We start from the raw sequence: 27,502 nt of genomic DNA, 5'->3' as shown, positions 1-27,502 counted from the left end.
CATTCGAATCAGAGAAGAGGAAAATGCCAAATCACTATATTCTAAGATTTGTTCAACTAGAGAGGCAGTGAGTGGATCAGCCCCTTTGGACTATTGCCAGAGGTGACCAGTGGAAATTGATCCTATAGACTCCTGCATTCACAGCATACATTCAGTCTTCCGATCACTTGAATCAGATCTGGGTCAAATCGAAAGCTCATTGGTTGTTTATGATGAACTGATATAGCCAATTCTCATTATTCACAGCAGTCATTTTATAAAATCGCCAAAAACACTGAATTAGCAAAGACTGAACCATTGATCCTACTAGAATTATAAGGTTAGGTTCCTGCGAGTGTCTGGTCACATTTTCATCAAATTATCAATACACAACCTTGTTTTAGGTGTGTTTCTGTTTAAAGGCACATTATTGAATACATATTGTTGACTCATTCTCATTGAACTCACGGCCAACAACTGTAACTCCTGCCTGAACACCTGAAAGAAGTATCTCTAACACACATATTTTCTCTGTAAGCAACATCACAGCCTTCTTGCACTTAGGAACACTTGACAGCCCTCCAGCACAATGCTTAGGGTCATTTTAAACAGCAAAATTACCAGCAGAAAGAGGCTGCATTTTGCAAAAATGAAAAAAGCATGGCACTCCATAGACCACAACAAGGCACTTGTTTATAGTATGAACTGAAATAAGAAGGCAGAGCATTGCCTTGTTCAAGCTTAGCCAGAAATGTACAAACCAGGTGACTCAAATTATTTATTGCTTTAAATGTTCACGAAAGTGCAATGAGTATTAATTTGGGGTTACAAAGAAATTAGAGCAAGTAGCTGAATTTGCAAAGAGAGCATCTGCAAATAATGAAGGTTGACTCCACTTGGGTAACCCCCAAAAAACCTTGACCTCTGGCATTTACACCCTTGTGTATACCTTTCTGTTGAACCAGAGTAGCCCTGGGATATGCTTTATCCAACACTATATGGCAGAGGGTGGCTGCACTCACCCCAGGTCTAAGAAGAACTGAAAGCTTCTGCTTTTGTGACATGGGGTAAGTCACCCTCTAACTACCTTGAGACAGCCATATTGTAAGAAGCCTGAACGATCCCTGTGGAGGAGAATTGAGGCCAGGCCAGTCAATAGCCATACTGAGCTCCTGGCCTTCAGACAGCATTCCTCTGCCAGGCCAATGCATGGGGCCATCTTGGGAGTAGAATGCTTCAGTCATGCCAAAGATGTTTCTGCTTATGTCCCAGGGAGCAGAGAAGTGCTGTGTCCACCAAACTCTGCCATGTGGCAGGATCCCAAGCAGATGACTGAAATGGGCATAGTCATGGCCCTTTTTCATCTCTTCTTTCTCTACCTGATATACAGCTTGCTTCTAGGAGATGGTTGCTTTGACTTCTAAGACTGTTTACCCAAACCCCACTTGCTTTGAAATGCAAATGTGTGCATTCTCAATGCAAGGGAGCTCTTCCAAGGATTGAAGAAATAAAACAGGATGCCACCCTTCAGCTCTCTTGAAATTTCTTTAGACCAATGTCAGCCATCAAACAAAAACAGTCACTAGAGGGTCTGTATTTTTCTAAGACTGTTTGTTGCCATTTTCTACTGTTTTTAGCTATGTTTTGCATCTGGGTGAGACTAACATGGGTTATGTGATGACCCAATATTTATTGTTTACTATTGCTACTCAAGTTCTTTCTTACTAGGTTCTCTCCAGGTGGGAAGGAGGCAAACATTGACGTGATGCAAAGTTGAACATTTATTCTATGACATGAAGGTCAATCAACTCAAAGCATATTAGTGATGACAATTCTTCATTTAACACATCTCCCCTCTCCAAGTCCTGGAAGGAATATGACCTGAAATAAATACAAGTACACAGGATTTATAAGTGGAATCTCCTTGTGTATACATAAAAAAGGGTGGTGAACACACAAGATTCTGTGCATCCTCAAGAAACAGCCTCATGTGGCCCCAGTAGCTTTACAATGGGCAGGTCTGGACAGAGCAGCCCCAAATCTGTTAAACAAAAAACAAAACTCCTTAATCACATGGGCGCCATGATGGTGATAACCCACGTATACCTAACTCTCTAGGGCTCCATGATTAGAGGTTTAAACTGGGAAACAAACTAGCATTGCCTTTGGTTGGAATGAATTCTTAAGCTCATTAGTTACATGATAACTCCCAGAAAGTTCTGCCACACATCGGTAGGGTGTCTAGGGATCTTCCGTACAGCCCAGTTCCCAAAATAAGATTGGTAATGATGTCAGAAAGCATGTTGCTAAGGGAACCCTGCAGAGGGAGATAAAGAGGAGTTGTTTGAACAAATGCACCAGAACAGCCAAGTTAATAGATGGCCAGTTTTGCTGGAGACAAAGGAATAAAACAAAGCCACCTGCAATGCGTGGTACCTCCGTGTGGGCAAAGTGGATCCGAGCTAAGAGTCAGGTTACCGGCAAATTTCTACATACGCCTCAGAAAGAGTGGCCAAAAGGCAAACTCAATACGTGTAAGAATTCTCAGGACAATAACAGCTTGGGTTTCCTCCTATTTCCTTACAAAGCACCTCCTTGCTACTTGTCCTGGGCTCCTTTGAGACACATCACCTGTAGGGAAAAATACTAACATCAGGCATGCATTTTTGCTTGATCACAGTAACTTGGAAAGTTGAATGATTCATTATAAAATTAGAAGAGAGAATTAGTAGAGCTGGGTCTTCTGCTCAGGGTCCCACAAGGCTGAAATCAACAGAGCTGCAGTCTTATCTGAGTTTTGGGGTCCTATGCTGAGCTCTCTGGATATTGTCAGGATTCAGTTCTTTGTGATTATAGGAAGAAACTGAAAGTGTAACTGTGTGATTGGTTTTATTCTATGCCTCCTGGTGTGAATGGAAAGTGATTCCTGTCAGGAGAACTTGCTTTCTACCAGTTTCACACATTGCCTGGGTCAGAACTATTCATTTGGAGCAGAGTAAACAGTAATTCACGGTTTGTTGTTGCCAGTAAACCAGATGCAAGAAAGGGGCAGGACACTGCTTAGCAACTTCATGAATAAAATTATGCAGTTAGCAGAAACTGGGCTGTGGGAACCCATAATCCAGCCCAGCCCTCCTAAGACTATAAATGCCTCTAGGGAGGTACATGGGAGGCACAGAATGGATGGTGATTCCTTGCATTTTGGTATCCTAGAATACTCCTGTCTTAATCCATTCAGGCTGCTATAACAAACTAGCATAGTCTGGATGGTTTAAACCACAGACATTTATTGCTGGCAGTTCTGGAGGCTGAAACTCCAAGATCAAGGTGTAGCAGAATCTGTGTCTGGTGGGGACCTCCTTCCTGGTTCATAGATGGTGACTTCTTGCCATGTTTTCAAATGGTGGAAAGAGGTAAAGGAGCTCTCTGTGGTCTCTTTTAGAAGGATGCTAATCCTATTAGTGAGACTCCGCCCTCATGACCTAATCACCTCCTAAAAGCCACCTCCTAATACCATCACCTTGGGAGTTAAGATTCAACCTATGCATTTTGGAGGGACACATTTAGTCAATAGCAACTAAGTTTCCCCTGTAAATAAAGTGGCCATTCGAGAGTGGGTGAGCCTTTCAGAAACTTTTCCAAGGAGCCATGTGGGAGTATTCAGCGAGGCATTTTGATATGAAATATTTCATCTTTCTTCTAAGTGAGATTCCAATTTCTTGAATTATCACAGTAGATAGTAAATACTAACAAAGTATCTCCTCCACACAAAGGTGTTTGGCATTTGATAGCTGGAGCATATGACTCATGGCCAGGCTTTTTCCACCCATGGACAGCCTTCTAAGGAAGGACTCCCTGCTCATTTCACATCAGAAATGAGCAGTGTATTAGTTAGCTATAGCTTCATAACAAATGATCACAGTCTTTGTGACTTAACACAACATACATTCACAATCTCACACCATTTCCAGGCACAGTATGGCTAGGTATTCAGCTTAGGATCCCACAAGGCTGAAATCAACAGAGCTGCCATCTTATCTGAGTTTTGGGATCCTCTCCTGAGCTCTCTGGCTACTATCAGGATTCAATTATTTGTGGTTATAGGAATGAAGCCATCAGTCCATTTCCTGCCATATGGCTGTCTTCATCATGTGGTAATTTGCTTCTTCAAGGCCAAAAGGAAAATATTTTTGTTGTTTAAAATCTATCTGGCTTCTCCTGTCTTTGGCCTACAGATGTACTTTTAAAGGATTCACCTGATTAAATCAGGCCTACCCAGAATAATCTCCTTTTAATTAACATAAAGTCACCTAATGAGAGACCTCAGTTACTTTGTTTTTATTTTTCTTTTGTTTTTTGTTTGAGGTTTCTTTTTTTTTTCAGATGGAGTTTTGCTCTTGTAGCCCAGGTGCGATCTCAGCTCACTGCAACCCACCTCCCAGGTTCAAGTGATTCTCCTGCCTCAGCCTCCTGAGTAGCTGGGACTACAGGCACCCACCACCACTCCTGGCTAATGTTTTTGTATTTTTAGTAGAGACGGGGTTTCGCCATGTTGGCCAGGCTGGTCTCGAATTCCTGACCTCAGGTGATCTGCCCCCCTCAGCCTCCCAAAGTGCTGGGATTACAGGCGTGAGCCACCAAGCCTGGTGGAGACCTCAGTTACTTTGTACAAAATACCTTCACCTTTACCATATAATGAAACTTAAATACAGGAGTGACATTCATGCTATTTCACAGTCCTACCCACACTCAAGGGGAGAAGAGTACACAGGGTGTTTGCATTGAAGGCAAGAACCTTGAGATCATTTTATTTTGCTTTCATTTTAGATTTAGAAGGTGCACGTGCAGTTTTGTTACAAGGGTATGTCGTGTAATGCCTGGCTTTGGGCTTCTATTGAATCCACCACTCAAATACTGAACCTAGTGCCCATTGTTTCCATCTTTATGCCCATGTGTATTCAGTGTTTAGCTCTCACTTATAAGGGAGAACATGTGGTATTTGATTTTCTTTTTCTGTGTTAATTCATTTAGGATAATGGCCACCAGCTACATTCATGTTGCTGCAAAAAACATGATGTCGTTATTTTTTGTGGCTGCATAGTATTCCATGGTGTATATGCACCACATTTTTTTAATCCAATCTACCATTGGATTAAAATTGGATTAAAATCCAATCAACACTTATTATGTTGGTTCCATGACTTTGCTATTGTGAATGGTGCTGTGATAAACACACGAGTGTGTGTGTCTTTTCAATATAATGATTTCTTTCCCTTTGAGTGGATACCCAATAGTGGGATTGCTGAGTCAAATGGTAGTTCTATTTTTAGTTTTTTGAGAAATCTCCATACTGTTTTCCATAGAGGTGATACTAACTTACATTCCCGCCAGCAGAGTATAAGAGTTTGTTTTCTCTGCAACCTTGCCAGCATCTGTTATTTTCTGACTTTTTAATAATAGTCATTCTATTTCATTTTGGTGTTAATTTGCATTTCTCTGATAACTAGTGATGGTGAGCTTTTTTTCATATTTTTTTGTTCACTTTATGTTTTCTTTTAAGAAGTGTGAGACTGGCCGGGCACAGTGGCTCACGCCTGGAATCTCAGCACTTTGGGAGGCCGAGGCGGGTGGTACCTGAGGTCAAGAGTTCGAGACCAGCCTGCCCAACATGGTGAAATCCTGTCTCTACAAAAATACAAAAATTAGCCGGGTGTGATGGCAGGCGCCTGTAATCCCAGCTACTCGGGAGGCTGAGGCAGGAGAATTGCTTGAATCCTGGAGGCAGAGGTTGCAGTGAGCCGATGTTATGCCATTGCACTCCAGCCTGGGCGATAGAGCGATACTCTGCCTCAAAAAATATAAATACATAAATAAATAAATAAAAATACAAAAATTAGCTGGGTGTGGTGGCACACGCCTGTACTCCCAGCTACCTGGGAAGCTGAGGCAGGAGAATCACTTGAAATCAGAAAGTGGAGGTGGCAGTGAGTCAAGATCACCCCAGTCACCCCACTGCACTCCAGCCTGGGTGACAGAGTGAGACTCTGCCTCAAAACAAAAACAAAAACAAAACAAAACAAAACAAAACAAAACAAAAACCTATGGGCAGAGATAAAAGAGCCTTGGGCCTCCTTATTAATTTCCTTCTCTAAACTCATGGCAGATCCACTGACACCAGCCTTCCTGTCTGGTCAGCCTTCCTGCCTGTCAATTGCCTATAAGTTAAAAAGCAGATCCCTGCAGTCTACAGGACTTTCTCCAGAGAGAAGCCCTAGTATCTCTGCCCCAGATCTTTCTTTGAGAACAGAAAGAAAACAAACCTCAGGCAACTATCTAGAGTTGAGGCACTCAACATACAAGCAGGAAATAAGAGTCCCACATTGACAGAAACACCAGCTCCCTTCATAACTTTAAGTATAATCCCATTGACACTGGGATGTGAATTGAACCAGAACTGAATAAGCTCTGTAAGTTTCATCAAGACAATTGCATCCCAAGTAGCCATCGGAGAACAGATGATAACGTCTCTGTGGTTGCAGTTTGAACATTTTTTCTTCCTGAAGAAAGATGAAAGTCCTTTTTTTTTTTCAGTTGGATTAGATTGGATTCCCTTTGTATCCCTCAAGGAACTCTCTCAGTATAGGCTGAAGAAGGTCAGAGGAGAGAATTCCATCATCATAATTCCACAGAGAAAGGCCAAGTTTCAGGACGTCTTCAGGTTAAGGGTGTCCAGTGTGGTGTGGATTTCAGGGTCTTACAAAGTGACGTGGGAAAACCCCAATACATGTCTCTTTCCTCTTCCTACACCCCTTCCTACTACTAATCTAATTAACCCATCTCTCTTCCTCCCACTGTGAGCTTCACCTCTTCCTTCTTCCACTCTGTGGTAGACTCCTAACTGCTTAGCTAATGTCTCCTCTTCCCATTGTCCATATTATCAGGAGTTTCATCGTTTTAGGTGGTCATCAGTTTAAAGGCTACAATCCCAGCTTCCCCCATCGCTACAGGATTTCTTTTTTTTTTTTTTTTTTTTTTTGAGACGGAGTCTCGTTCTGTCACCCAGGCTGGAGTGCAATGGCGTGATCTCGGCTCACTGCAACCTCCGCCTCCCGGGTTCAAGCAATTCTCCTGCCTCAGCCTCCCAAGAGCCGGAATTATAGGCGCATGCCACCACGCCCGGCTAATTTTTTGTATTTTTAGTAGAGATGGGGTTTCTCCATGTTGGCCAGGCTGTTCTCGAACTCCCAACCTCAGGTGATCCGCTCACCTTGGCCTCCCACAGTGCTGGGATTACATGCGTGAGCCACCGCGCCTGGCCAACTATGGGATTTCTAATGGAGTCTCTTGGGTGAAGCCTCCATGAAAGCTATGAAAAATGGAGTGCATTTGGAGATTTCTCAAAAACCTTAAAACAGAACTACCATTCAACCTAGCAATTCTATTACTGGATATATAACCAAAGAAAATAAGTCCTTCTACCAAAAAGATACATGCACTCACATGTTCATTGCAGCACTATTCACATTAGCAAAGACATGGAATCAACCTAGATGCCTGTCAGTGGTGGATTGGATAAAGAAAATGTGGTACCTATGGCCAGGTGCAGTGGCTCACACCTGTCATCCGAGCACTTTGGGAGGCCGAGGCAGGTGGATCACGAGGTCAGGAGTTCGAGACCAGCCTGGCCAACAAGGTGAAACCCCATCTCTACTAAAGATACAAAAAATTAGCCGGGCGTGGTGGCATGCGCCTATAATTCCAGCTCTTGGGAGGCTGAGGCAGGAGAATTGCTTGAACCCGGGAGGTGGAGGTTGCAGTGACCCGAGATTGCGCTCACTCCAGCCTGGCGACAGAGCGAGACTCTGTTTAAAAAAAAAAAAAAAAGAAAGAAAAAGAAAGAAAAGAAAAGAAAAAAAGAAAATATGGCACTTACACACCATGGAATACCTCGCCACCATAAAAAATAAAATCATGTTTTTGCAGCAACATGGATGCATCTGGAGGCCATTATCCTAGGCAAATTAACATATGTTCTCATTTATAAGTGGGAGCTAAACATTGGGTACTCATGGACATAAAGATGGGGACAACAGACACTGGGGACTACTGGGGGGTAGGAGAGAGGGGAGAAGAGTTGAAAAACTAACTATCGGGTACTATGCTCAGTATCTGGGTGATGGGATCATCTGTACCCCAAACAAACGTCAGCATCACACAATATACCCATGGAACAAACTGGTGCATGTACCCCCTGAAGCTAAAATGAAAGCTGAAATTATGTAAAAAAATAGATGGAGTACTTTGGCGGGGCGTGGTGGCTCACGCCTGTAATCCCAGCACTTTGGGAGGCTGAGATGGGCGGATCACGAGGTCAGGAGATCGAGACCATCCTGGCTAACACCGTGAAACCCCGTCTCTACTAAAAATACAAAAAATAAGCCAGACATGGTGGCAGGCGCCTGTAGTCCCAGCTACTCGGGAGGCTGAGGCAGGAGAATGGCGTGAACCGGGGAGGTGGAGCTTACAGTGAGCCGAGATCGCACCACTGCACTCCAGCCTGGGCGACAGAGCAAGACTCCATCTCAAAAAAAAAAAAAAAAAAAAAAAAAAAAAAAAAAAATAGATGGAGTACTTTTTGTGTCCTCCCTCTCTTGCATCTTGGACATGATGTCTAGGGCTCAAGGCGCCATCTTGAAACATGAACTGATAGAAATGTAGCTCAGAGACAGACGAGTGGAGGAGAAAGACAAAAAGATCCTGGTCCCTGAAAACCATGTAACTGTCACATAGACCCTGCCCTGCCCTTTTCAAAACTTCTCCAAAATAAACCTCTGCCTTGTTGAAGCTTGTTGGATTTTCTTTGATATGTGGGTGAATCTACTCTTAATAGACACCCAGTCTTTATTGGAAAAATAGAGTTCTTTCTCTTCCCGTGCCCCACCTTTGACTTCTTACAAGCAGGAAAATTAGATTAAAGGAATATGGAGGATTAAGCAAGAAAAAAGATTAAAGGATATGGAGAAGAAGGATAAATAATTTTGGCGAAAAATCCAAGTACAATGGATAGATTTTTTTCAAATTTTAATTTTACTTACAATCAGTACTAACATTACACTTTCTGCTTTGTGCAAATACCATGCCATTTGTCTGTTCCACAGCAAGGAGACCGAAATCATTACTTACTTATAATACCTAATGGTGGAAGCAGCTCTCTCTTAGCAATTACACAGATGCATTGAGTTGAAGCCTGGTTTCATCCATCCCCACTTCTTCCTGGGAGAAATTCAATTTCCCATACGTCGTTGCAAAGGAAAGCACATGTCAAGAGAAATTATTTGTTATCCATTTAGAGTCTGGCTATCCTCAGCTCCAGGGAAAGATTGCAAAGAAGGAAAGTCCTCAAGAGGAAGATTAATTTTTTATATGTATTGTGAATATCCCCTGAGCATGATGAAGGAGAAAGGGTAAAGCAGGCATATTTCATAAATGCTCCCTGAGTGATTCTGATAGAGCACCACTCTTCTCGTGTCCTTTACCTACTGACGTAGTTTGGATATTTCTCCCCTTCAGATCTCATGTTGAAATGTGACCCTCAGTGTCGGTAGTGGGCCTGGTGAAAGGTGTTTGGGTCATGGGGCAGATCATTCATGAGTGGCTTGATGATGACTTTTTGGTAATGGGTGAGTTCTCTGGTCTATTTGTTCCCAGATGATCTTGTTGTTAAAAACAGCCTAGTACGTCCTCTCCTTTCTCTCTTGCTTCTTTTCTCACTGTGTGATCTCTACACACGCCAGCTGCCTTTCCTTTTCCACCATGAGTGGAAGCTTCCCGAAGCCCACCCCAGAAGCAGATGCTGGTGCCATGCATTTGTGCAGCCTGCAGAACCATGAGCCAAATAAACCACTTTTCTTTATAAATTACCCAGCCTCAGGTATTCCTTCACAGCAACACGAAATGGACCTAGACACCTACTAAGAGCCATAGCTCTGGCGAACTGGGAAGGCATCGTCTCTCTTAGGCAACATGCATTGGGGCAAAATGGTACATCCATGTGATCGTTTTGTTTTCTGTTTTTATTTGCTACTTTTCTTTTCTTTTCATTTAATTTTAGAATCAGAATGAGTCCATGTGACCTTTCTGCAAACAAAATCTTCTACTCCCACACTCAGCCCGGGCACAGAGAAATGAGAAGGCAGGAGGATTGCTTAAGCCCAGGAGTTCAAGACCAGCCTAGGCAACGTGGTGAGAACCCATCTCTACAATTTTTTAAAAAAATTACCTGTGCGTGGTGGTGTATGCCTGTAGTCCCAGCTACTCAAGAGGCTGAGGCAGGAGGATCGCTTGAGCCCAGGAGGTGGAGGCTACAGTGAGCTATGCTCGTGCCACTGCACTCCAGCCTGGGTGACAGAGTGAGACCCTGTCTCTAAAAAAAACAAAGCTTATCCTTGTTTAGTACTGATGAAGATCACCACGGTGACAAGGTGGGTTTAGGGAGTTGGAGGGGGGGACTTCTATAAATTGAATCCGAAATCTAAAAATTATTGATTATCAGTCTTATTTGTTTATGTTGTACAAAGGGCCTGTATGATCTTGCAATTTCCAGCAGGTCTGCACATGTCATGAGTCACTGTCCAGTCAAGGGAGGCTTGCCTTGAGTCAGGGGTCCAGCCCCAATCCTTTGAGCTATCGCTGAGTGTTAGAGGTTGGGGACAGGATCATACAATAGGTAATAGGATAGGGAAGGTTGGCATTTTCCCTGTTGCAGGTGAGATGTCTTTTCACATCTCACATAGCTGCATGAGATACTCATGCAGCTCCCAACTGAATCCCCTTTAGAGATAATTGCCTTGGAGCTGGTTGGTTCAAGGAGAATTGAACAGCCTGGGCGTGGTGGCTCACACCTGTAATCCCAGCACTTTGGGAGGCCGAGGCAGGTAGATCACCTGAGGTCAGGAGTTTGAGACCAGCCTGACCAACATGGCGAAACCCCGTCTCTACTAAAAATATAAAAATTAGCCGGTCGTGGTGGTGGGCACCTGTAATCCTAGCTATTTGGGAGGTTGAGGCAGGAGAATCGCTTGAACTCAGGAGGCGGAGGTTGCTGTGAGCCGAGATCGCACCATTGCACTCCAGCCTGGGCAACAAGAGCAAAACTCTGTCTCAAAAAAAAAAAAAAGGAGAATAGAACAATGTATTTTAGTCAAACATACTTCTGCTTTATCCAAATTTTCATTACTGCTCCTTCTACAGATATTCTATGTTGATTCCAATATGCATGCTTACGATTTTGTTATTTTTGAAACTCTGTCCCTGTAAGCTGTTTGCTAATACAAATACTTGCCAGGTGAGTTACCTTGATTTTTGTCGTCTGCACACTAAGGACCAGATAGGGAAGTGGGAATCATCTTCTAACTCATAGATGGATAATGGCTACCAAAAACAATTGCATTCTATAGGTTCACCCATAGAGACAGAAGGCAGATGAATTATTGCCAGGGGCTGAGGGAAGGGGGAAAGGGGTGGGACTAATTAATGGTATGAGGACTCCTTTTATGGTGATAAAAATGTTTTGGAACTAGATAGAGGTGATTGTTGCCCAACATTGTGAATGTACAACATGCTACTAAATCATATTCTTTAAAATCATTCTATATTAGGTGAATACATATTTTTAAAAAAGAAAGAAATTACATTTGAAATCCCAAAATTTTGATAGGAAGAGATACATATTAAGCATAAAGCCATTAACACTTTGCTTCACCATATTTACCCTGTCTCCTTGAGTCATTTGTAAATTCAGTATGCTGTTGTTAAGTGGCAGACGGGATAACAGACCCCAAAACAGCCGGGCTTGGGGAGGAGCCAAGGATCTCCATCTGGCCCACTGGCAAAAGAGTCAACAATGGGCAAAGAACCCAAGGGCTGGCTCAGTCAGAAAGCAGTGTCCCTTCCCAACAAAGGCACCGAAATTGTCAGAGGCTTTTGAACAAGAGCAACTTCATCTTGAATAGGAGCTGCATAAAATGAGGCTGAGACCTACTGGGCTTCATTCCCAGACAGTTGAGGCATTCTAAATCTAAGGATGAGACAGGAGGTCAGCACAAGAGACAGGTCATAAGGACCTTGCTGATAAAAACAGGTTGCAATAAAGAAGCTGGCCAAATCCCACCAAAACCAAGCTGGTGATGAGTGTGACCTCTGGTGGTCCTCACTGCTACACTCCCACCAGCACTATGACAGTTACGAATGTCATGGCAACATCAGAAAGCTACCCTATATGGTCTAAAAAGGGGAGGCACGAACAATCCACCCCTTGTTTAGCATATCATCAAGAAATAATCATAAAAATGTGGAGCCAGCAGCCCTCGGGGCTGTTCTGTCTATGGAGTAGCCATTCTTTTATTCCTTTACACTGTTAATAAACTCGCTTTTGCTTTGCACTGTGGACTGGCCCTGAACTCTTTCTTGCACAGAATCCAAGAATCCTCTCTTGAGGTCTGGATCAGGACACCTTTCCTGTAACAAAATGAATGAAGATGAGCCATGGCAAAGACTGTCTACTTTCCGTTCCTCGTTGCATAGTGATACCATTGATTTACCATTATGGAACCGAATAATTCAATGCAACTCTCCGATGATGCTTTTCAACCCAGTCACATTTTTATGTAGACTAAAAATTAAAAACAGACAAAAGGCAAAACTGTAGAAAAAGTAAAAAGATCAGTGTTTGTCAGTGTCCTGGGGGAGAGAGAGGAGGAGGAACACAGGAAGCATAGGGGATTTTGAGGGCAGTGAAACTATTCTGTACGATGTATCTGCAGATACTATTCCATATCTACAAGTCAGTCTCTATTTATCAAAACCCATAGAACTGCACAGCACAAAGAGTGAGCCCTCATGGAGACTGTGGACTCTGGTGAATGATAATGTCCCACTATCAGCTCATCAATTGTAACACATGTACCACACTAATGCAAGGTGTCAATCATGGGGCAAACTTTGTTGTATATACAGGCAAGTGGGTCTAGGGGAACCCTAGACTTTCTGCTCAGTTTTTTAATAAACCTGAAACTGCCCCAAAAGCAAAGGCTATTCATTTAAAAAATAGAATATATGGCCTTTGCAGCAACTTGGATGGACTTGGAGGCCATTATTCTAAGCGAAGTAAGTTGGGGATGAAAGGCAAATATCCATGATATTAAGTGAGTATGTTCTCACTTACAACTGGGAGCTAAGCCATGAGGACGCACAGGCATAAGAGTGATATAATGAACTTTGGGGACTTGGGGGGAACGGGGGAAGGGGGCGAGGGATAAAACACTACATATTGGGTATAGTGTATACTGCTCAGGTGACAGGTGCATGAAAATCTCAGAAATTATTAATACCACTAAAGAACTTATCCGCATAACCAAAAAACTACCTGTCCCCAAAAACTGTTGAAACAAAATTTAAAAAAAAATGAAAAATAAAGTTAAAAAAGTTAACTAAATAAAATAGACAAAAGGAAAACCACCCACCTTGCGCCTGCATGTGCTCTGCACAACTCCTTTCATTACAAGCATTACAGAACAAATAAAAAAAGATGATTGAAAAAATGCAGGGATGGCCGGGCGCAGTGGCTCACACCTGTAATCCCAGCAATTTGGGAGGCCGAGGCAGGCGGATCACTTAAGATCAGGAGTTCAAGAGACCAGCCTGGCCTCTTGAACATGGCAAAACCCTGTCTCTACTAAAAATACAAAAATTAGCCAGGCATGGTGGCACGTGCCTGTAATCCCAGCTACTCGGGAGATTGAGACAGGAGAATTGCTTGAACCTGGGAGGTGGAGTTTCCAGTGAGCCAAGATCAGGCCACTGCACTCCAGCCTGGACAACAGAGAAAGACTCCATCAAAAAAAAAGAAAGAAAGAAAGAAAGAAAGAAAAAGTGCAAGGAGTCATTATATTTTTAGTGAAACCAATGATGATGATGATGATGATGATAATAATAATAGGCTGGGTGTGGTGGCTTATGCCTGTAATCCCAGAAATTTGGAAAGCTGAGACAGGAGGATCGGTTGAGCCCAGTAGTTCAAAATTAGCCTGGGCAACATAGGGAGACCCCGTCTCTACAAAAATTAGCTAGGTGGGCCATGCACAGTGGCTCACGCCTGTAATCCCAGCATTTGGGAGACTGAGGTGGGCAGATCACGAGGTCAGGAGTTCGAGATCAGCCTGGTCAACATAGTGAAACCTTGTCTCTACTAAAAATACAAAAAATTAGTTGGGCGTGATGGCAGGTGCCTGTAATCCCAGCTACTTGGGAGGCTGAGGCAGGAGAATCGCTTGAACCTGGGAGGCAGAGGTTGCAGTGAGCCGAGACTGCACCATTGCACTCCAGCCTGGGCGACAGGGTGAGACTCTGTCTAAAAAAAAAATAAATACAAATAAAATTTGTACAAAAAATAAAAAATAAAAACAAACAAAAAAAAATTAGCTAGGCCTGTAGTTCCAGCTACTCAGGAGGCTGAATAAGGAGGATCACTTGACCCTAGGAGGTTGATGCTGCAGTGAGCCATCATTTGCTCCACTGCACTCCAGCCTGGGAGACAGAATGAGACCCTGTCTCAAAAATAATACAAATAAGAATAAGAGCACATGTGACCCTAATTGGTGACTGCATATTTCAGCTCTGGGATTCGGGGGTCTCCTGCAAGAGCCAGGCTGGAATTCATCCTGCTGATGGAGTGATCCTTCTGGATAGGTTACATATTTGAACACATTCCCATCTGCTTGAGATTTTCTACTTTTGCCTACAAATTATCATTTTCCTGCTTATGGCCATGACACAGAAATTAACATATCAGATGCTGGAAGTTTGAGGCCAATGTTAAAAATAAATTGACATCCTTAGAGGGGATATCTCTTGGCAAATATGTTATTTGTGGTTCTGCAAATGCTGATATTTCTAGATACCATCCACTTTGTTTTTTACATTAAAGTCTTTATGAACTTTAAAAGAAAACGTGCTTAGCAAAAATGTCCTTAAATTTCATAAATGCATACTGACTGGTTTTTCCTATATTTTAAGAAAAGATCCAATTTTTATATATTTTTCTAAGCATGATAACTTTTTTTTTTTTTTTAAATGGAGTCTCACTCTGTCGCCCAGGCTGGAGTGCAGTGGTGTGATCTCTGCTCACTACAACCTCTACCTCCCGGGTTCAAGCGATTCTCCCACCTCAGCCTCCCGAGTAGCTGGACTTACAGGTGCACGCCACCATGTCTGGCTAATTTTTGTATTTTTAGTAGAAATGGGGTTTCACCATGTTGGCCAGGCTGATCTCGAGCTTCTGACTTCAAGTTATCTGCCCACCTCGGCCTCCCAGAGTGCTGGGATTACAGGCATGAGCCACCGTGCCTGGCCAATAACATATTTTTTAAAATGATAACAGCCAGGCACGGTGGCTCACGCCTGTAATCCCAGCACTCTGGGAGGCTGAGGTGGGAGGATGGCTTGAGCCCAAGAGTTTGAGACCACTCTGGGTGACATGGCGAAACCCCATCTCTATAATAAAATAATAATAATGATAAAATTTTAAAATAACAATAAGAATAATAAGCAGTATTTGTTTAAAATGAGTAGACATCCCAAACCAATCTTCATCTCTACACATCGTCAGCCAAATGCAGGTTTTTAGCTACAATATAAATGTATATTTTTCAAGCCAAATTCCCATTTTTCAAACCCAAAGCCAGCATACTACTCCTGACATTTTGAAGAATTTGGCAGAAAGTGTTTTCGTTTTGTGAATGGCATAAGCTCCTTCCTGCCTAACCACATTCCAAAATACTCGGCCATTGTTTGGTTGGGGGAAAGCGTCTACTTTCTAAAAGTATATTACAGAGTTTTTAAGGGGCTGACTGTTTTTACTGATGATTTATGGTCCCTTTTAAAGCCTCTTAATTCTCTCTGGCACTATTAAACCAAATTCATGACCCACCAAGATGGTGTCAAAGATAAAACTCTCTGAGATTCATAATTGACAGTCAACTGGGAGACCACGCCTAAGAAATTAATAGTTCATGTGATACCAACATTTTAAAACAAGGAAAATGTAGAAAACATTGCTTGCTTTTTATATCTTCTCACAACTTTCAGTCTGGGGCAGGTTCAAGCAAGTTCAGTCAAAGAAAAACATTTGTTGCAAAGTTGTCTTTAATGCTCTCATGTCATTTATCATAGTTGAAAAAAAAATTCAGTTATAGAGTTGAGGCCTGCTTCATCAAAACTTAAACCTTTATGCTTCAAAGGGCACCATCAAGAAAGGAAATTACAACCACGGCAGGGAGAAAATGTTTGCAAATCATGTACCTGATTAGAGACTTGTGTCCATAATATAGAAATCATCCTTTTCACTCAACGATAAAATTACTTTTAAAATTCAATTTACGAGTGGGTAGGGGCTGGGCATGGTGGCTCACACCTGTAATCCCAGCACTTTGGGAGGCCCAGGTGGGCAGATCACCTGAGGTCAGGAGTTTGAGACCAGCCTGGCCAACATGATGAAACCCTGTCTCCACAAAAAATGCAAAAATTAGCCGGGTGTAGTGGCTCGTGACTGTAGTCTCAGCTACTAGGGAGGCTGAGGCAGGAGAATTGCTTGAATCTGAGAGGCAGAGGTTGCAGTGAGCCAACATAACGCCACTGCACTCCAGCCTGGGTGATAAAGTGAGACTCCCTCTCAAAAAAAAAAAAAAAAAACAAGTGGGTAGGGCCAGGCGCAGTGGCTCACTCCTGTAATCCCAACATGTTGGAAGGTTGAGGTGGGTGAACCACTTGAGGTCAGGAGTTCAGGACCAGCTTATCCAACATGGTGAAACCCCATCTCTACTAAAAATACAAAAATTTAGCTGAGCATGGTGGCGTGCACCTGTAATCCCAGCTACTTGGGAGGCTGAGGAATGAGAATTGCTTGAGCCTGGGAGAAGGAGGTTGCAGTGAGCTGAGATCGTGCCACTGCATTCCAGCCTGGGCAACAGAGAAAGACTCTCTCAGAAAAAAATAAAAATATAAAATAAAAACATAAGTGCGTAAAGGATTTGAATTGTACATCCCTCCAAAAAAGATACACGAGTGACCAATAAACACATGAAAAGATAGTCAATATCACTGGCCATCAAAGATATGCAAATTCAAGACACCATCAGAATGCTTACACACCACTGGTGGGAATGTAAACTAGTTCAGCCCTTGCAGAAAGCAGTTTGGAGATTTCCCAAAGAAGTCAAACTAGAACTACCTCTTGATCCAGCAATTGCATGACTGGGTATCTATCTAAAGGAAAAGTAATCATTTTACCAAAAAGACACCTGCACTCATATGTTTCTAGCAGTACTAGTTACAGTAGCAAAGACATGGAATCAACCCAGGTGCCCATCAATAGTGGATAAAGAAAATGTGGTACATATACACCATGGAATACTACACAGCCATAAAAAAGAATGAAATCATGCCCTTTGCAGCAACATGGATGGAGCTGGAGGCCATTATTCTAAGTGAACTAACACAGGAACAGAAAATCAACGCATGTTCTTACTTACAAGTGGGAGCTAAACATTGTGTACTCACAGACATAAAGATGGGAAAAGTAGACCCTGGGGACTCCTACAAGGGGGAGAGAGGGGGAGCAAGGGTTGAAAAACTAACCATTGAGTACTATGTGGGTGACAGGCTCAACAGAAGCCCAAACCTCAGCACCATGCAATATATCCATGTAACAAACCTGTACATGTACCCCTTAAATCTAAAATTTTTCTTAAAAACCCACCATCAGATTGACTTCATACCCACTAGGACAGCTAGCATCAAGGTCGGATAATAACAAGTGCTGGTGAGCAAGTGGAGAAATTGGAACCCTCCTAGAGTGTTGGTGAGAATGTAAGATTGTGCAGCCGCTGTGGAAAACAGTCAGACGGCTCCTGAAAAATGGGGTTCTTCATAATTTTTAAGGATATAAAGGGGTCCTGAGACTAAAAATTTGAGACCCACTCCTTAATGAAAATATTTTCTCATATGTAACTTGTATTTGTTGAATTCTTTTCAATTCAATTGTTGTATTCAAGTAACAGAAGAGACATCATCTCTACAGAGAAGTTGATTTTTGTCTTTATTTTCTCTCTGAGCCCATGAGAAAGACACATAGGGCCTCCTGTAATAGCCACTGAATTATAAGAGACAAGATAAAACACAAATGATGACAGCAGGAAACAGACATACTGAACAAACTCGTTAGCTAACATGGAGTTATAGCTACTTGTAAGCCGATTTAAGTGCTTTCCTTTGCCATATTGTATGCTACAACATCAACTCTGAGATCTAAACTGGCTCTAACTCTATTCAACACTATGTACTAAAGATACATAAGGCAGTGGTCTGTTTTTTATAAATAAAGTTTTATGGGAACACAGGTGCTCCTGTTCATTTAAGTATTGTCTATGTCTGTTTTCCACTTCCTCGACAGAGTTGACCTGTTGCTACAGAGACCACGTGGTCTGCAAAGCCAAGAATACTTAGCATTTAGGCCCTTACAGAGTAAGTTTGCCAAACCCTGCTAAATGATATGAATTGGACCCAGATTTTGCAGAAATTGCAAGGGTAAGCATGCAGGAAAGAGAAACAAAAAGTAGAAATGGGCAGATCTGGGTTCAGGGGGACTTGCAATTCTGGGGTGAGGTCACTGGCCAAAGAGGCTTGCCCAGCTCTGAAGCCACACCAGGTCTGATTTTGGTATGTCGGAACACAGTCTGCTGCATGGAGCTGAGAGACTGAAAATACAGACAATGGCTAAGCCATGTATAAATAGAGAATCCTGACCCAAGATCTACAGCAACCAGCCTAGAAATCAATCCACTGCCTATAGTAACCAGTCCCAAAAGCCAGCCTACTAGCTGCAAATCATGCTTGTAGTAAATCAGACCACTGTCTCTAGTAACAGTCCAGGAAGCCAAACAATGACCCCTGTAATCATTGGCCCCAAATGACCACGACTTGTTTAATAACTGACAGCGTTCCTAATTTTTGTCCTACTTCTAAATTAGGACCAACAAGAGACTGCCACACATGCACTTGTAACCAATAACATGGAATGTCCTGCCTGTAGTGAGCCTCCTACAGCTCCCTGTGCCAGCCACCTCCAGTCAGGGCACACCTGAAGCCTCCCTTTTTCTCCACTATGAAGCTGTCCTGCTTCTCTGCCTGCCTGTGAGTCTCTGCCAAATGCTTTTTAGTATATGAATAGTGGGTAGATGGATGAATACATATTGAATGGATAGATAAATGAATCATGGATAGATTGATAGATAGATGGATGGATGGATGGATGCATAGATAATGGATGATTGGATGAACATAAAATGATGAATGAATGGATGGATGATGAATGAATAGATGGTGTGTAAATTAATGTATGGATGGATGAATAGAAAATGGATTGATGATGGATGGATGAATAGATGGATGGAAAAATGAGATATAATAGATGGATGAGTGATAGAAAGATTGATTGATGGGTGAATAATGAATGGGTAGATGAATGGATAGATAGATGGATGAATTGATAGATGGATGATTGATGGATGAATTGATAAATATATGATGGAAGAATGGGTGGATGATGGATAAATGGATGGATGGGTGGATGGGTGGGTGGATGGATAGATTGATGTATGGGTGGTGGGTGGATGGGTGATGGATGGAGGGAGGGGTAAATTGATGGTGGGTGGACTGATGGATGGATGATGGACAGATGAATAGATAATGTATAAATGGATGATGAATAAATCAATGGATGGATAGATAAATAGATAATGTATAAATGGATGGATAGATGGTATATAACAGGTGGACCAATGGATGAATAGATGGATGGATGGATGGAAATATAATGGGTGAGTGGATGAATATATAATGGATGAATGAATGAATAGGATGGATGGCAGATGGATTGATGGATGGATGGATGGATGGGTGGATTGATAGATGGATATATAATGTATGCATGAATGGATGAATAGATGGAAAAATGGATGGATGAATGGAAACATAGATGGATGATGTGGCTGAACCCCTTGCTATGGTAATCTCTGAAGATGCAACCTTCATTTCTTCTCATGTTGTTGGTCTTTGTTTATTTCCACAAAGCAAAGCAGCAGGAGCTAGCAATTGGTGCAAAATTCACAATTAAGTCAGCAGCTGAGTGCTATACTTAGATAGTTGAAGGCAACAGAGGGCCAAAATACAAGAGCAAGATCAATTTCACCAAGAGAGAGTCCCAAGGGCCAAGTCTGACATCTCTTTCTAGCATGGAAATTGGTTGGTTCAGTGAAAGTTAGGGAGAAGACTGTCAAGCTACTTATGGATGAGGAATTTCTGGGTCATCAGATACTGACATGTCCCAGCCCTAAACTCTGATTCCTCCAGCTGGTGAAGATATCCTTAGCATTGGCTCAGGCCCAGTGAGAGCTGAACGCAAAGGCAGAAGGGCTGTAGTATCCATGACAGGGAGAGGCTGAGAAAGGTAGCAAAAGACACACAAAACAAATAAAAAGAGAGGAAACCTCCAGGTTTGACTCAACCGTGGAGAAGTGAGAAAGAAGACCAGCTTAAAAAATAGAAATGCTTACAGAATAGTTCTTCTTTTTTATTCCTTAAAGGAACTGACTGCTTTTTAAAGGAACTGAGAAACTGGGAAACAGACTAGTGCAGAGTTATAAATAGAACCATCGATAGACAGTTCATAACCCCAAGTAGACTACCTATGTTAGGTGTTACAACTTCTCTCAAACAGCAAGGTACCAGGAAGCTCACACTTCATCTTCAGGGGACTCAGTCCACTTTTAGAAGATTACGTTTTGTATAACTTAAAATGTTCGTGACTCTTCACACTCATCTGCAAATACAGGGATAATTTTTTAAGACTTTATTTTGACACCTATAAAAATGGTGCCTAATTCTGCAACACCCAGCCAAACGTCATTGGCTTATATGGAACTATTAAAAATACATAAAACATATATTTATTATATAATGACTAGATTACTACCTATTATTTACTAAGTAGCAAACATAAGAAAATGTATCATTATTTATTATTACCAGGCACTCTATCAAACGTAGGAAAATGTATTATTATTGATATTAAGTAGTGCTTATCATTGCTTAGTTATTAAATGCCAAACATGACAAACCCTTTACATAAAATGTCTTGATTTCACAAAAATCACCTGAGATTCAGGACCAGAATCTAACCCCAGGTCGATTGGACTTTTTGTCTGTTTCGAGACAGGGTTTTGTCCTGTTGCCTAGACTGAAGCACAGTGGGACAATTACAGCTCACTGTACCCTCACCCTCCTTGGCTCAAGTGATCCTCCCATCTCAGCCTACAAGTAGCTGAGACTACAGGTGTGCACCATCATGCCAGGCTAATTTTTATTTTGTAATTTTTTGTAGAGACAGGGTCTCACTATGCTGCCCCAGCTGGTTTCAGACTTCTGGCCTCAAGAAGTCCTCCTACCTCAGCCTCCCAAAGTGCTGGGATTACAGGCATGAGCCACCATGCCCAGCCTCAATTTGATTTTAAGGCTAATTTGCCTAACAGTGACAGTCTATTGGAAACATACACAGAAAATAGGAAAAAGAAGAATGCCGCTTTCAGAACCACAACTACCTTTGAAGAAGAGAGAATCGACTTGAATGGAAACCTTGATGTTTCACTGGGTACCCCAGTGGGCTGGATGTGTGTTTTGGGAGCAGAAGCTGGAGAGGGCTGAATGGATTTTCAAAATCAGTGAAGGAACAGCAAGAAGGAAATTCCAGGGAGCCAAAGAGGGGTGAGAAACAGGATAATGCGTTGTAAACTCATTCCCTGCTTTCTCCCTCACCACTGTATTTTGCTGTGTTTGTTATGCTACACTGGGAAGGCTGCATCAGTGTGGTGTGTTTGCTTGAAAGTTGCAGAAGAGGTTGGCTTTCATTACAGATTCTGGGGTGTGTGTGTGGAAGCAGAAATCCAGAGTACAGGGCTTCTATAAGAAGGTAACGTTCCTTCCAGCCTCCAAGGAAGTCACAGAAATTGGGAAACAGATTTGAATTTTCATGAGAAGTAAAAATAGGAGCTTGAGACAATTTCATCTCCACCTCAGGGTGCCAGGGGCCCCAGCCAACATTGGCACGCAAATGTTCCTGTATGAACAATGCACATACACAAACACACAATTTTCTATACAGCCTTGTCCGACATCACAATTTAGACACAAAGGGATTTGCTTAAATTAATTACACAGGGACAAAACATTAGTGTCAGGGCCAGACCTGGAGCTTTTAGAACTCTGGTTCTTTTTCCATGAGGCTATCCATGTTCCATCTATATATTCATCCATCCATTCATTCACCTAACATTCATCTGTGTATCCATCCATCCATCCGTATTCCATCATCCATTCCATCCATCCATCCATCTGTCATCCTTTTATGTATACATCTAACAATCCATCCATTTATTAGCTATTCATTCATCCATCCTAGATCCATCAATTCATTATCTATTCATCTATCCAACCATCTATCACCCATCTACCCATTCATCTATTATCTACCCTCATCCATCCATACATTCATCCAATATATTCGTCCGTCCATCCATCCATCCATCCATCCATCCATCCATCATCTTTCATCCATCCATCTACCATGCATGTATCCATCATCAATTTATTCATCATAGTCCTTGGTGATGGTTTTGAATAAGAAAATCCTCATTAATCTGAATAGGAATTGGTCCTGTCCTTGATCAAGCCCAGTAGGTTGGAACCTGGAAGCAGGACAGGTTCATAAGAGTGAGGACACATTGGAGCAACTATGGACACAGGCAAAGCCCTGCCTAGGGAAGTATAGTATTAATAGTTCCCTAAAACAACTGAAAATAGAATTCCACTTCTGGGTATATACCCAAAAATATTGAAAGCAAGATCTCAAAGAGATATTTGTATGTGCTCATAGCAGCATTACTCACAATAGCCAAAAGATGGAAGGATCCCAAATGTCCATAGATGAATAAATAAGTAAAATGTAGTATATGAATGCAATGAAATATTATTCAGCCTTCAAGGGAGAGAATTCTGACATATGCTACAATATACTTAAATCTTGAGGACGTTATTCTAAGTGAAACAAGCCCGTCATGAAAAGACAAATAATATATGATTCCACTTACATGAAGTCCTTTGAGGAGTCAAATACTTGGAGACAGAGTGCAGAATGGTTGTTGTCAGAGGTTGGTGGGGAGGGAAAATGAAAAATTATTACTTAATGGGGACACGATTTTTGTTTGGGGTGAAGAAAGTGTTTTGAAAATAGATCATGGTGATAGTTGCACAACAATGTAAATGCACTTAATACTACCAAATTGTACAGTTAAAAATAATGTAATTGGTAAATTTTATGTGATGTACATATTACCACAATTTTTTAAAGTTTAGCCTAGGACATCAAATGGCAAGAATTTTTGAGGAAAGAGTGGAGGGACATACAAACCTGTGTGGGGCACAATTACATAAGCAAGAGGGAAAAGCAGAAGGAAGACCAGTAGCTAAAGATGACTTTCCTGTTGACCTACATGAGCCACCAAACTGGATTTTTGATGTTACATGTTGCTCAGATCACGGTGGGTCTTAGAAACTGAGGTGAAAAGTCAAGAGTCAGTTTTGCACAGAGGAGACCATCGGGACAGAGAACCAGAAGCCTGTCATGCTGATCATCAGCCTCCCATGTCTCCCCATTCCCTGATGGTGCTAAATGCTTCCAAAGCCTTGGTTTAGAAATGGAAGCATTCTCATTTCTATTCAGGGGCCTGGAGGGATAAAAACTTGCTTTCCCATTTAGGCAGAAGGAACTCAATTTTGGTCTCCTCAAACATACAAAATAGATAGATTGACAGATGGATTGATGGATGGATAGATAAATAGATGATGGACAGATGAATGGGTGGGTGGATGGATGGATGGATGGGTGAGTGAGGTAGGTAGATGGCTGGCTGGCTGGCTGGCTGGATACCTGGCTTGCTGGCTGGCTGGCTGGCTGGCTAGATGGATGGACAAATGGAAAGATGGATAGAAAGATGGATGGGTGGATGGATGAATGAATAACAGACAGATGAATGAATGACAGACGGATGAATGAAAGGATGAATGATAGACGGATGAATGAAAGGATGGATGGAATGGTGAATGGGTGGATGAGTAGAGGGGTGAGTGGGTGAGTAGTGTGGGTGTGTGAATGAATGGACAGAATGATGAATAGTTGGATGGGTGGGTGAATGTGTGGGTGTGTGAGTAGCATGGATTAGTGAATGGATGGATGGATGGATGGAATGATGGACAAATTGGTGGTAGATGGATGGGTGGATGGATGAAATGATGAATGGATGGGTGAGTGGATGGGTGGGTGGGTGAGTAGCATGGGTTAGTGAATGGATGGATGGATGGATGGATGGAATGATGGACAAATTGGTGGTAGATGGATGGGTGGATGATGGATGAAATGATGAATGGATGGGTGAGTGGATGGGTGGCTGGATAGATGGGGAGATGAAAGGATGGATGGAATGATGAATAGATGGATGGATAGGTAGGAGGATGAGTGGCATGGATGTGTGGATGGATGAATGAAATGATGGATAGATGGGTAAGTGGATGGGTAACTGGGTGCATGGGTGGGTGGATAGATGGAATGATGGTTGGGTGGCTTGTTGGCTGGCTGGCTGGTTAGATGGATGGATGGATGGATGGATGGATGGATGGATGGATGGATGAATGGATGAGTGGGTGGATGGATGAATAGATGGATGGATGGTTAGATGGATTAATGGTTAAATGGAATGATGGTTGGTTGGGTGGCTGGTTGGCTGGCTGGCTGGCTGGCTAGATGAGTGAGTGGGTGGATGGATGGAATGATGTATGGATGGATGAGTGGGTGGATGGATAGGTAGATGGATGGGTGGGCGGATGGATGGAGGGAGGGATAGCTGGGCATATGGGTGGATGGATGGGTATATGGGTGTGTGGATGGGTGTGTGGATGGATGGATGGATGGATGAGAGGGTGGATGGATAGGTGGGTGGGTGGATGGATGGATGGATGGAGGGGTAGGTGGGCATGTGAGTAAATAGATGGATAGGTGGGCATGTGTATAGATGGTTGAATGGGTAGATGGATGTATAGATGGATAGGTGAGAGGGTGGGTGGATGGATGGATGGCTGGATGGATGGGTGAATAGATGACTGGCTGGATGGGTAGGGGGGTGGATGGATGGATGGGTGGGTGGATGGATGGATGGAGGGGTAGGTGGGCATGTGAGTAAATAGATGGGTGGGTGGATAGGTAGATGGATGGATGGATGGATAGGTAGGTGAGAGGGTGGGTGTATGTATGGATGGGTGGGTGGATAGATGGATGGATGGGTAAGTAGGTGGGTGGATGGATGGAATGATGGATGGATGGATGAATAAATGTGTGGGTGGATGCATGGCAGTTACAGTTGTGTGTGTGTGTATGTGTGTGTATGCACATGTACATTTATGCTTATAAAACAATGACAATGTGCAGAATTAAAATCTATGAGAAATCTAAAATTCCCCTCCTTTCCCTCATTTTTACTCCTTCTATTCCTTAGCATCTACCACAGCTGTAACAAAACTGAACAAATTTGGTTTGACCTCTTTTCATTGTGCCTCGTTTCTAAGTGACAAACAGAAAACATGACAAAACCCCCAAACATTAGCAAGGGAAGGTCAAGACAATGGACTGGACTCACCAGTGCCTTAAATGATTGGCCCCAGGGAATCCCGAGGTGACATTGCAAAGGCTTCTTCCAAGCTCCACATCAGACTCTCTCTCCACTTAGCAGCATTTAACCTACAAGCTAAGAAGATTCCATGCCATTAGTCTCTTAGCTGCACAAGCCCAGACTGGCTGAGTTCCTAACTGAAGAAGCTGGCATTTGTCTCCAAAATTGGCATTTGTCTCCACATTCATTTCCAAAATAGGTCATGCCTTTAGGATAAAAGGCTTAGAGGAAATAATGAGAAAGGGTGTAACCTCCAAACCGTTCTGCTGCTTCCTCCATGAGTCTATGTGCTCGGCAGGTACCTGGGCTGTTCCTTTCATGAGTTCTGTAATGCACCCTTGCAGGGGGCACCCGAAGGCACAAGTCTGCATTTTGTACTACTGCAACTTGCCCTTCCCATAGGAAGGTCACATTGTAACCCGTTACCCCCATTTTTCTTTTTTTCTTTTCTTTTTTTTTTTTTGAGACAGAGTCTCGCTCCGTCGCCCAGGCTGGAGTGCAGTGGCCTGATCTCGGCTCACTGCAAGCTCCGCCTCCCGGGTTCACGCCATTCTCCTGCCTCAGCCTCCGGAGTAGCTGGGACTACAGGCGCCCGCCACTACGCCCGGCTAATTTTTTGTATTTTTAGTAGAGACGGGGTTTCACCGTGTTAGCCAGGATGGTCTCGATCTCCTGACCTCGTGATCCACCTGTCTCGGCCTCCCAAAGTGCTGGGATTACAGACATGAGCCACCGCGCCCGGCCATTACCCCCATTTTCCTGAGAGAAAGAGAATGAGTTTTTAAAATTATTTTTTCCTCTTTTTTGTCTTTTCTCCTTTTCCCCTGTTCATCACTTCCTACTTAGCTCTTTAGAAATGCAATTATAGGGCTGGGCACGGTGGCTCACACCTGTAATCCCACCACTTTGGGAGGTCGAGTTGGGCGGATAACGAGATCAAGAGATGGAGACCATCCTGGCCAACATGGTGAAACCCCGTCTCTACCAAAAATACAAAAATTAGCCGGGGGTGGTGGCGGGCGCCTGTAATCCCAGCTACTCAGGAGGCTCAGGCAGGAGAATGGCGCGAACCCGGGAGGCGGAGCTTGCAGTGAGCCGAGATCAGGCCACTGCACTGCAGCCTGGGCGACAGAGCGAGACTCCGTCTAAAAAAAAAAAAGCCCCTACTTTCTGTGCCAGAAGCAAAGCAGTACTCTTAAGGCAGGAAGCATGTACTCCTTCCCCTAAGCTAGCTTTGGAATAAAAAGTCACTTTCTTTATCAGACCTCACTCTTGTTAATTGAACTCTGCCAGCAGTGAGTGACTGAACCTGAAATTCAGTTACAACACAGGGGCTGATATCACTATGGGATATCCCCTTAAATGGGAAAACGGCTTTAGTCCATTCAGCTGGACTTCAACCCAGAATTCACCCAAAATAAGGCCACAGACCTGGCCACACTCAATATATCCAATGCAAGGAATCATGACGACATTTCCAAGGCTGTCTAAATTTTTGTGCTTCTTACCTAGAATTCATTAATTCCCACAATCCAGGATATATTAAAAATTAATAGAGGCTGGGCACGGTGGCTCACGGCTGTAATCCCAGCACTTTGGGAGGCCCAGGCATGTGACTCACTTGGGGTTAGGAGTTC

The sequence above is a fragment of the Homo sapiens genome, chromosome X, assembly GCF_000001405.40.
Source record: "Homo sapiens chromosome X, GRCh38.p14 Primary Assembly".
NCBI lineage: Eukaryota > Metazoa > Chordata > Mammalia > Primates > Hominidae > Homo > Homo sapiens.
Note: the sequence above shows the minus strand (reverse complement) of the source record.